This window comes from Homo sapiens, chromosome 7 (genome assembly GCF_000001405.40).
Source record: "Homo sapiens chromosome 7, GRCh38.p14 Primary Assembly".
Taxonomy (NCBI): Eukaryota; Metazoa; Chordata; class Mammalia; order Primates; family Hominidae; genus Homo; species Homo sapiens.
The window spans coordinates 72,569,206-72,581,346 of NC_000007.14; the positions used below are offsets into that span (position 1 = coordinate 72,569,206).

Genomic DNA, 12,141 nt, shown 5'->3' on the forward strand with positions numbered 1-12,141 from the left:
AAAAAAAAAAAAAAAAAATCTGGTGTCCTTTCATTAAAGCCTGAAAAAACTCCCTTTAGTACTTGTTTGGGAAGGTCTGCTAATGACAAATTCTTTCTTTGTTTATCTGGCAATGTCTTCATTTCTCCATTAATTCTGAAAAAGGGTTTAACTAGATAGAACATTTTTGGCTAACCATCTATTTCATCCTATCTTCTGGCCTCCATGTTTTCTGCTGAGAAGTCAACTGCTAATTTTACTGAAGTTCATTCGATAGATGATTTTCAGTTTGTGGTGAAATTCCGGTTTATTATCAGAATTCTAAAATTGGTTTATTTTAGTTGTATTGCGCATATTTTCATTGTTTTAGAGGGAGACAGAGTTCACTGAGGCCCCCACTCTGCCATTTTGGAACTGATCTCATTTCATTTTAATTATTTAGGTAGCATATTTTAACATCTTATAAACCAACTTTCACTTAATAGTTATTTTTTCTAAAATTTCTTAACTATTGTCTGTTTGGCTAATTTTTCAGTTAGAATCATTTTCTTAAGCTCCAAAAAGAAATTCTGATAGAACTTGGGATGTTATTTTGCAAACAGATCACCTTCTTAGAACATTCAGGTTTCCCATTCTCTCCCACTTTTATACTGTTCAGCAAACTTAATGAATGTTTTCATGTAGATTGCACTGTATTTTCCTTAGACATTTCAAATGTTCTGTTGTGACTGTGAACTGGGCTTAAAGTGTTGTTATTTTAAATATGAATCAATACATCAATATTTTCTGGGATGAAAGAAAAACACTCATCTATTGATGAGTGTCAGGAGATTGAGATCATGAGGTCAGGAGATTGAGACCATCCTGGCTAACACGGTGAAACTCCGTCTCTACTAAAAATACAAAAAATTAGCCAGGCGTGGTGGCGGGCGCCTGTGGTCCCAGCTACTGGGGAGGCTGAGGCAGGACAATGGCGTGAACCTGGGAGGCAGAGCTTGCAGTGAGCTGAGATCGTGCCACTGCACTCCAGCCTGGGTGACACAGCGAGACTCTGTCTCAAAAAAAAAAAGTTAATGGAATCAGGAGGGTTCATTCTGTAGGTAAGAGGTTTGCTTTTTTTTTTCTTTGAAACAATAAAATATCTTTGTTCAATTTAAATCTTGAGGCCACGCATGGTGGCTCACACTTGTAATCATAGCACTTTGGGAGGCTGAGTTGGGCGGATCACTTGAGGTCAGGAATTCGAGACTAGCCTGGCCAACATGGTGATACCCCCCTCCCCCCATCTCTACTAAAAATACAAAAATTCACCAGGCATGGTGACTTGTGCCTGAAATCCCAGCTATCAGGAGGCTGAGGCAGAGAATCACTTGAACCCGGGATGCAGAGGTTGCAGTGAGCTGAGATCACACCACTGCACTCCAGCCTGGGTGGCAGAGCAAGACTGTCTCAAAAAAAAAAATCTTAAGCAGCACACCAATTCATAAAAAAGAAAAGCAGACCTGTGTGGTTGAAAAGAGGTTGAGGAGTAGCACAAAGTCCTGCATGCTCTGCCTCCTTCCTCGCTCCTTAGGGCAGCCTCCGAGGTGCTTTCCAACAACTGGATGCTTTGTTAACTCTCCTGTATAAGAGCCCATCTGTGGGCTCCTTAGCATAAGCTCTTACTTTCTAACATTTCATCCTACTTGAAAGACTTTTTCCATCTCTCTTCAATGACCACTAACACATCTGTGTCTCAGTGAGACCCTGCTTCACTGACTTGGACCACCTGGCCCTGTCTGTTGCATTAAATCAGCAGAACAGGGGACTGAACAGAAGCTGAAAGATGTGGCAGGGACCAGGCATGGTGGTTCACACCTATAGTCCCAGTGCTTTGGGAGTCTAAGATGGTAGAATTGTTTGAGGCCAGGAGTTCAAGACCAGATTGGGTAACACAGCAAGACCCCATCTCTACAAAAAATTGAAAATTAGACAGGCGTGGTGGCATGTGCTGGTGGTCCCAGCTACTCAAGAGACTGAGGTGGGAGGATTGTTTGAGCCCAGGAGTTTGAGGCTGTGGTGAGCAGTGATTGCACTGCTGCACTCCAGCCTGGGTGACAGAGTGAGACCCCATCTGTTAAATTTAAATTAAATTTAAAAACAAAAAATGTTCTTAAAGACCTGGTGACTTGGGCCAATCGCAGTGGCTCACACCTGTAATCCCAGCACTCTGGGAGGTCGAGGTGGGTGGATCACTTGAGGTCAGGAGTTCGAGGCCAGCCTGGCCAACATGGTGAAACCCCATCTCTACTAAAAATACAAAAATTAGCCAGGTGTTCGTGGCACATGCCTATAGTCCCAGCTACTCAGGAGGCTGAGGCAGGAGAATCACTTGAACCTGAAGGCAGAGGTTGCAGTGAGCCAAGATCTCACCACTACACTCCAGCCTGGGCAACAGAGTGAATGAAACTCCATCTCAAAAAAAAGACCCAGTGACTTCAAGAAAGATAACACTTCTGTGCTACTTTGTCACTATCCCATCTGTGACATAATTTTATATATTTGATATTTAGTCTCTGTCCTTGGTACCTGGCACAGAGCTCTTGAAACCCTTGTAATCTCCTGAGTGCACCCAGCACGGGTGCAGCTTTTATCCTCATATTTGCTTTTTGACCCAGCTCCTGCCATTGAGCTCCAAATCTCTTGGAATGTCCTGGGTTACAGGAGCATCTTTTGTTCTAATGAAGTGGGCTTGTTTTTTGGTGGGCTCCTGGATGGAGGCTGGCCACCAGAAGGACCGACATGATTAGAAGATTGGAACTTTCAGCCCCACCCCCAATCTGCTGGGGTGCCTACATGATGAAGCTTCCGTAACCACCACTAACTATGGCACATAGGGAGCTTCCAGACTGGTAAATACATCAACTTGCTGGGAGGGTGGCACAGCTCAACTCCCCAGGGACAGAAGCTTCTCTGCCCAGGATCTTCCCAGACCTTGCCCTCTGTATCCTTTCATCTGCCTGTTCATTTGTACCCTTTGAAATATCCTAATAAATTGGGCGCGGTGGCTCAAGCCTGTAATCCCAGCACTTTGGAAGGCTGAGGCAGGCGGATCACTTGAGGTCAGGAGTTCAAGACCAGCCTGACCAACATGGTGAACTCCTGTCTGTACTAAAAATACCAAAATTAGCCAGGCGTGGTGGTTCCTGCCTGTAATCCCAGCTACTTGGGAGGCTGAGGCACAAGAATCCCTTGAACCCAGGAGGCAGAGGTTGTACTGAGCTGAGATTGTACCACTGCACTCCTACATGGGCAATGGAGCAAGACTGTTTCAAAAAAAAAAAAAAAAATCCTAATAAATCAGCAATAGTAAGTGAATTGTTTTCTTGGGTTCTGTGGGCTACTCTAGCAAATTATTGAACCTAAGAATGGGGTTCCTCTGATTTACAGACAAAGAACCTCTGATTTATGGCCATGTCAAACAAGCTGTGGGTAACCTGGGGACCTCCTACCTGCAACTAGTGTCTGAAGTGAGGGGCAGTCTTGTGGGACTGGGCATTTTTTTTTTTTTTTTTTTTTTTTTTGAGACGGAGTCTTGCTTTGTCACCCAGGCTGGAGTGCAGCGGTGCGATCTCAGTTCACTGCAACCTCCGCCTCTTGGGTTCAAGCCATTCTCCTGCCTCAGCCTCCTGAGTAGCTGGGATTACAGGCGCACAACACCATGTCCGGCTAATTTTGGTAATTTTAGTAGAGACGGAGTTTCACCATGTTGGTCAGGCTGGTCTTGAACTCCTGACCTCAGGTAATCCGCCTGCCTCAGCCTCCCAAAGTGCTGGGATTACAGGCGTGAGCCAGGGTGCCCGGCGTTGGGACTGAGCTCTTAACTCAGGGAGTCTTTGTTAATTCATTAGCATCAGAATTGAACTGAACAGTAGGATGCCCGGCTGGTGTCAGAGAATTGATTGGTATAGCAAAAAGCCCCACAAATTTGGTGTCAGAAGTGAAGGATTGAGTGGTGTGAGTACAGAGGGAAAAACGACTGGTCTTTCCTGTATTCAATGATCCATGTAACAATACAGAAAAGTATTTTGATTCTACCATTTAGAAATAAGTATGGTGGGGTGGGTGCAGTGGCTCCCGGCTGTAATCCCAGCACTTTGGGAGGCCGAGGCGGGTGAATCACAAGGTCAGGAGTTTGAGACCAGCCTGGCCAATATGGTGAAACCCAGTCTCTACTAAAAATACAAAAATTAGCCAGGCGTGGTGGCGGGTGCCTGTAGTCCCAGCTACTCGGGAGGCTGAGGCAGGAGAATCGCTTGAACCTAGGAGGTGGAGGTTGCAGTGAGCCGCGATCACGCCACTGCACTCCAGCCTGGGTGACAGAGCAAGACTCCATCTCAAAAAAAAAAAAAAAAAGAGAAATAAGTACGGTGGCCAGGTGTAGTGTCTCATGCCTGTAATCCTAGCCACTATCGGAGGTTGAGGCGGGAGGATCTCCCAAGTTCCGGAGCTCAAGACCAGCCTGGGCAACATAGTGAGACCCTGTGTCTACGAAAAACATCAAAAAAATTTAGCTGAGCTTGGTGGTGTATGCCTGCAGTCCCAGCTATGCAGGAGGCTGAGGTGGGAGGACTGCTTGGGCCCAGGAGATTGAGGCTGCAGTGAGCCGTGATTGTGCTACTGCACTCCGGCTTCAGCAACACAGCGAGACCCTGTTGCCAAAAAAAAAAAAGAAAAAAAAAAGGTGTCCAGTTTTCAACTGGGTAGGTAGATTATATATCTATGAATTTTATTTCAGCACAGAATAGAGGATAGAGTTACAAAAGGTGGGTCTAACAGGGTTTAGGACTGCAGGAGTGGTGGCTCATGCCTGTAATCCTAGCACTTTGGGAAGTTGAGGCAGGAGGATCACCTGAGGTCAGGAGTTCGAGACCAGCCTGGCCAACATGGTGAAATCCCATCTCTACTAAAAATGCAAAAATTAGCCAGGCCTGGTGGTGCATGCCTGTAATCCCAGCTATTCGGGAGGCTGAGGCAGGAGAATCAGTTGAACCCGGGAGGCAGAGGTGACAGTGAGCCAAGATTACACCACTGCACTCCAGCCTGGGTGACAGTGAGACTCTGTCTCAAAATAAATAAATAAATAAAAATAAAAAATAACTAAAAGAGTATAATTGGATTGGTTTTAGCACAAAGGATAAATGCTTGTGGGGATGGAGACCCCATTCTCCATGATGTGATTATTACGCATTGCATGCTTGTATGAAAACATCCCATGTACCCCATATATATACCTAATATGGACCCACAATAATTAGAATAAAAATTTAAAAAAACTCATGCTGCAAGTCTTTACAAAATATTATTTTATTAATTCAATTTTTGCATAAAAGACTGTTAAAAGAATTTGCTAACTTGAAAACAATTTTGAGTATTTATGATCTTTCCAACTTGAAAACACCTGAACCTTATAGAACAGATTGTGTAAAGCAGCGAGGGCCACAGGAGTCAAAGAAGATGGAGACCCGCCGTCTGGTCGTGATATGAGAGGCCCGGACAGTGACCTCACGAACAAAAAGAAATGATCCTCTTCAGTCCAAAGTGTGTTTGTGAGACTAATGACTCCATGCCCTCACATGGCCACTCCTCTTACAGCAGACAGCTTCACTCCGCTCCAGCCCCGGTACTGCGGTCTGTGGTAATTTACATGGGAATGGGATGAGATCTAGTAGTTTTAGATCCGATGCAATTTTGGGAAGGGTTAGTAATAAACCAAAACTCAATCTATGCAGTATTTAAAAAATAATTGAGAGTTGTGACAACTTCGATTCTTTTCAGGAGGTGCTGTCTTAAGACAGAAGAAAGGGATCAAGCTCTTATCTTAGAAAGCACAGACACGTTTAGCTCAGGGTAGTGCAATTCAATGCTAAGTGGCTGCTCCATGAAATCCAAGGGCCAGGTGAGGGGAAGAGGCCCAGGGATTTCTTCCTTGTCTGACACTCTCAGGACTAGCATTCTGGCAGGTCTTAGAAGTTATAATACAAAACCATCAGTTAAATTCTAATCACGACTGTGTAGTTCCTCCCCAAAATAATTTTCCTCTTAGAAGTAAAATCAGGAAAGGGGCTGAGTTCTGAAAAGAAACATCGGGGCTGTGGCCCAGGCCCTCTGAGTGTGGACGCTGTCCCCCGTGTCTCCATGTTTACTGCCTTATCGTCTCCTTTGTATGAAAGTATAATTTACGTAATTCGTCCTTGGAGAATCAGAGTGGTGTTCAAGAACCTTTTGAGGCCATCCAAGTTTTTGTCCTTCAGTACCTTGAAATCAGATAATCTCAACATCCAGAAATAGCCTTTGATTTGTTCTTTCTCTGATGTCTTGTGTCCTTGGGATCAAAGCTTCTTTCATTGGCACCAAATAATGCCCAGTGAGGAGTTCTGGCCATATAATCCTTTGCGCTGAACGTTTTTGATCCACCACTATCTTCATATTCCTGGATGAGCTCCTGGAAGCGGTTATAATCGATCCATGTCCACCATTCACCACCAATTTTAAACTGGAAAGAAAAAAATGTGTCAAGTCAGAAGTAAAAACATCCCTAGAAAAAAAAAATGAATGTTTTTAAAAATCATGAACAAGTCTGATCTTTTCTCCCTATCACGCCAAGAAAACAAAAACAAAAACAAACACAAAAAAACCTCTTCCATGTTCCAGACATGACTTCCTATCAAAGCAAGATGCGCTACAATCACAGGAGAGCTTCCTTTCCCTTGGGCCTGCAGTTTTGCTGGGCCCGGAAGACAAGTCAAGTTTATCTCAAGCAGTCCCGCTGACACAGGGTTAAATGTTTCCGTGTTACCATGTGACTAATTCAAACTCATTCTAATTCCTGCTGTTGCCGCTTTTGATCGGTTACAAATTTTCAAGGCTGTGTTAACAGCATCTCGTGGAATCCTTTTTAGACTCAACTTGGCTTGAGTTATTAGTGAAGGTTTCATCAATAACTTCTAATTCAAACATGCTAACTAAATGACTCAAACTAGCTTTTCTGGCCTAACGTGGATACAATATCTCATTAGTGGAAAGCCTGAACAATTTCAATTCAGTAAGAGGGGATAATCCAATTTGTACTCTCTTAAGAAAATTGCTTCTCAAAAGTCACGGTAGAATAATGACCTGGAATGAAGAAAACAGAAAGAAAGTTGAAGAGGCTCAGAAGGAAATACTAATTGAACTGTGAAGGCTTTTAATTCAAAGCATTTGTTTGGCATTCATTTGTGTAAATGTATTAACTAATACGCTGATACCTGACTCATAAACAGACAAGTACTTGTCATGCCACTGTCTTTTTTTTTTTTTTTTTTTTTGAGACGGAGTCTCGCTCTGTAGCCCAGGCTGGAGTGTAGTGGCCTGATCTCGGCTCACTGCAAGCTCCGCCTCCTGCGTTCACGCCATTCTCCTGCCTCAGCCTCCTGAGTAGCTGGGACTCTTGGCTCCCGCTAGCACACCTGGCTAATTTTTTGTATTTTTAGTAAAGACGGGGTTTCACCGTGTTAGCCAGGATGGTCTCGATCTCCTAACCTCGTGATCCGCCGGCCTCGGCCTCCCAAAGTGCTGGGATTACAGGCGTGAGCCACCACACCCGGCCCATGCCACTATCTTTTAAAAAACTTCGACTAATGGCCGGGCATGGTGGCTCATGCCTGTCATCCCAGCACTTTCAAAGGCCGAGGCAGGTGGATCACCTGAGGTCGGGAGTTCAAGACTAGCCTGGCCAACATGGTAAAACCCCATCGCTACTAAAAATACAAAAATTAGCCAGGCGTGGTGGTGTGTGCATGTAATCCCAGCTACTTGGGAGGCTGAGGCAGGAGAATCACTTGAACCTGGGAGGTGGAGGTTGCAGTGAGCCAAGACCATGCCACTGCACTCTAGCCTCAGTGATGAGAGTGAAACTCTGTCTCAAAAATAAAAATAAGAAAACTCCGACTAACTAAATGAACTAAGGAAAAATTTCCTGTTCTAGCCACAAAAAAAAAAAAGAAAAGAAAATACATAGGTTCCTGAATTTAGAATATTAAAATATGTTGAATTTAAATGACATCTGATTTTTTACCCACTAGCTAAGAGCTTTCTAGGGGGAAAATGCTGAATATGCGGAAAAGTTTAATTACTCTATGAATTAGAGGAAATTTTCTTGTAATAAGACCATTCTTGGAAATGGTGCCTCAAGGGCCCTGTGAACTCTACAACCCAAGATGTAAAATTTATATCTCACCATCATTCTCTCTCCCAAGACAGACTGTCCCTGAAGTGTTGTCTACTGTTGTGGAAGCAATCACTGTCATTCCCAGGCACTGAGCCTCGAAACTGCAGAGTCAAAGGTGACCTCCTTTTCCCTGGCCCTTCACACCTCCATCGATTCTCCCTGGGCAGCACTTCTGCCGCCGGTGGCGTGACTTGGTCACGCAGGCCCTTCCTCTGGGCCGCAGCCACTGTCTTCCAGCCAATTGACCTTCTGATTCCAGCTGTGGCTTCTCTCAACTTCACACAGACGGCCTGAGACTGTGCCGACAGCAGAATTGATTCCTACGATCCTGAATGTAAAGTCTGAGTATCAAATCTGCATCTCTTGGTGAGCTGTGGTCCTCTCACGTGACGCCCAAGCTGTTCCCTCTGTCTAACTCACATGTCCTTCATCCTCTGCTCTGGGGAGTCTTCCTAAATCCTGTTAGTTCGGTTGCAGTGAGAGAGTTCCCATGTTAGACAGTTTCTGTCAGTTTTCTGGCCACAGGACCTCACTGTCCTGAACTTCCACAGACACTATAATGGCCCCTGCAGTTTCCTCCTGCATTCCACCCCACCAAGCCTGCTGGCTCTGTGAATATATGACCTTAACAACGTATGCCGTCACCCAGGACATGCGAGGGCCCAGCCTCTCTTCCTCACCATTTTTTTTTTTTTTTTTGAGACGGAGTCTCGCTCTGTCACCCAGGCTGGAGTGCAGTGGCGCAATCTCGGCTCACTGCAAGCTCTGCCTCCCGGGTTCTTGCCATTCTCCTGCCTCAGCCTCCCGAGTAGCTGGGACTACAGGCGACCACCACCACGCCTGGCTAATTTTTTTTGTATTTTTAATAGAGACGGGGTTTCACCGTGTTAGCCAGGATGGTCTCGATCTCCTGACCTCGTGATCCGCCTGTCTTGGCCTCCCAAAGTGCTGGGATAACAGGCATGAGCCACTGCACCCAGCCCTTCCTCACCTCTTAACAAAGCTAGAAGACCATACAAAGAATCAAAATTCCACCTGGTCTACTGACATCTTGAGACATGATGGGATTTTGCTGCTACTGGCTCCATAGAATAGAAGGGACTGCTTCACTGTGTATTCATGACAGAGGCATGACACTCACCCTTGACTGAGCCTGGGGTGACTGACATGACATTAACATGTAATTTAACATGCATGACAGTCAAATGAGGCCAAAAATCATGATCCATCCATCAACATGGGCCAACTGGGCCAACTATGGACTTGGCCCAGTTACATACATTTAGAAAATAATTATAATACAACATAGCGTGTATAGTGGGTGAGGTTATGTACAAGGCACTTGGGGAGTACAGGGACAGGTGTGATAAATCACAGAAGCTTGGCCCCGTAGAGGAGTCTTTTTCGGGATCCCAGTGTTGCTTGCTGAAAGACAGAGATGACCATTCTCTCTTCTTCCCTATTTGTGTCCCTTTGGTGTTTCGATTTCTAGGTCTGAAGTCTGACCCCTCTGGTTCATAATCCTGATGCTCCTTCACCCTCAAACTCTAACATAATTATTTGCCATGGGTGTTCTAAGAGAGAGTAAAGGATTGGTTTGAGCAATACAATGGACTTAATTTTTTTTTTTTTAACCATACTTACAGTCAAAAATATACTTTATATCTCAATCTAGTACACGCAAATATACACACACAAGCTGGGAATACAACTTTCACAAAACTGCAGGCAATGCACTTCATAAGAGAACTGCTGGCTGCAACTCACAAAACCAACTTCCTCACTTCTAATGCAGTTTGAAAACTTCTGCACTAAAAGATCTGGTTTCTTTTGACTCTAAAACTCTGCTCTGCTTTAAAATGGAAGAAATTTCTGTTGCACAGGTAGGACAACTGTAAGCTAAAATCTGATAACTGACTGCTCTGATTCCCAAAGTCTAAAAAAACTAACTGGAAGACCAAGTAAATGCAGGACAAAGTAGGAGTATTAGCTCAGGCTGCCGTAACAAAATGCCATAGTGTGGGGAACTGAAACAACAGAAAATTCTTTTCTCACAGTTCTGGAGGCTGGAATTCCAAGGTTCTGGCTCAGTTTCTGGTGAGGGCTCTCTTCCTGTCTTGCAGGTGGCTGCCTTCTTGCTTTGTCCCACATGGCCTTTTCTTGGTACATGTACACGGAAAGTGAGTGAGCAAGTGACTTGGGCCCTCTCATGTCTCTTCTTCTTCCTTTTTTTTAAGAGATAGGTTCTCACTCTGTCACCCAGGCTGGAGTGCAGTGGTGCAACTATTGCACATTGCAGCCTCAATCTTGTGGGCTCAAGCCATCCTCCCACCTCAGCCTCCTGCGTAGCTGAGACTACAGGTACATGTCACCATGCCCAACTAATTTTTAAATTTTCTGTAGAGAAAGGGTCTAGCTATTTTGCCCAGGCTGCTCTTGAACTCCTGGCCTCAAGTGATCCTCCCACCTTGATCTCCCAAAATGCTAGGATCATAGGCATGAGCCACCGCACCCAGCCCTGATGTCTCTTCTTACAAAAACACTGATCCTATTAGATCAGGGCTTACCCCTATAACCTCATTTAATCCCAGTTGCTTCCTTTGAAACCCCATCTCCAAATATAGCCACACTGGGAATTAGGACCTCAACCTATGAACTTGGGAGGGGAGGGGGGCCACAAACATTCAGTCCTTAAGAGTAAGTTATTCTGAAATGAACAGAGCCACTAGACCCAAAAGACAAAACTGAACCACATGTGCCACCTCTCAGGGCAATCGGAGACGAATCATACTGAATAATCACAGCTCAGAAAAAATCAAAGTGTTCCATGTAAAAGGCAGAAGCTGAAAGAGCAAAACTTGGTATGACTGACACACAAACAGCGCTGAGAGACAGCTGCATAAACAGAGGCATGAAACCCCAAATCGTAAAATCTGAGGTTAAGTATCCTGAGACACGAGGTCACCCTGCTAAAAGAATCCCTCGAATCCAACAGTAAGGGAAGAACGGAATCTATGCAGAATTACAAATAAACTCAAAAGGTCATAAATGATCTTAAAAACACACAAGCGCAATAAGATACAGCCTGACTTAATAAAGCCAGGCTGCTAAGGGTCTGTGGCCTTGCTGGCTAGATGAGGCAATGCAGGCTCCCACTCTCTGCAAGAATCAAACTGCTGTACAAAGGGGCCTTGTTCTCCTTATGTTCTCCTCTTTCACACAGGGAGAATTTCACTAAACAATAATAATGGCATAGGTTCTCTGTTAGTGTAAATGTTTAAAAAGATTCCATTAAAGATGGTAGATTAAACGCATGCATTTACTATTACTTCCTCTTGAAACCCCACTAAAATGACAGTAAGAACATTTAAAAAAGATATATAACATAAAAATAAAGCTACCAGGAGAGGAGAAAACAGTATTGGACTTTCAGAAGCTGAACAGATGATGGGTGAGCAAACTGGTTTAGCAGACCCAAGAGAGCTGAATCCTAAGCCAGCAAATAGAGAAATCCAAGATTCAGCCCAAATTATGCTTTAGAATTCCTCAAAGGCTCAGAAACTGGCTGCACTAGTTCCCCCGACAGGAAGCATGGATTGAGGAGGTACCAAACCCACTCCCCACCAAAAACCCAAAGGCAGGTTTATATTCTGTTTAAGACACGATTAGAATCTCAAGTTCCTGAGCCCCCTGCATATATTCACAGCTGAGCACCTGCCCACTCCATGCCCCGACAGATGCTTAGAGGTTTCTTCTCAGAAGACAATTCAGAAAGGATCTGTGGTCTGTGGGACAGCAGGTATAGCTGAGAGCAGGGCTGCCATAATAAAACTATTTCCTTTCCTGTTTCTGGACCACCAGGGACCATTGCAAGCTGCAGAAAATGAGAAGACCCTACTGACCAGCCCAAGAAG

The 12,141-nt window shown here is 44.6% G+C and overlaps 1 protein-coding gene across 4 annotated transcripts in view; it reads right to left on the reverse strand.

Moving 5' to 3' along the window:
* Positions 1-5,307: 5,307 nt before the first annotated feature.
* The window catches only part of TYW1B (tRNA-yW synthesizing protein 1 homolog B), a 253,688-nt gene continuing 246,854 nt past the window's right edge, over positions 5,308-12,141 (reverse strand). For all 4 annotated transcript variants that reach the window (NM_001412180.1, NM_001412179.1, NM_001145440.3 and 1 more), the window contains one exon: positions 5,308-6,514. In NM_001412180.1, coding sequence (NP_001399109.1) covers positions 6,293-6,514 — 222 coding nt within the window. In that variant the 3' untranslated portion in view covers positions 5,308-6,292. The remainder of the gene's footprint in view (positions 6,515-12,141) is intronic.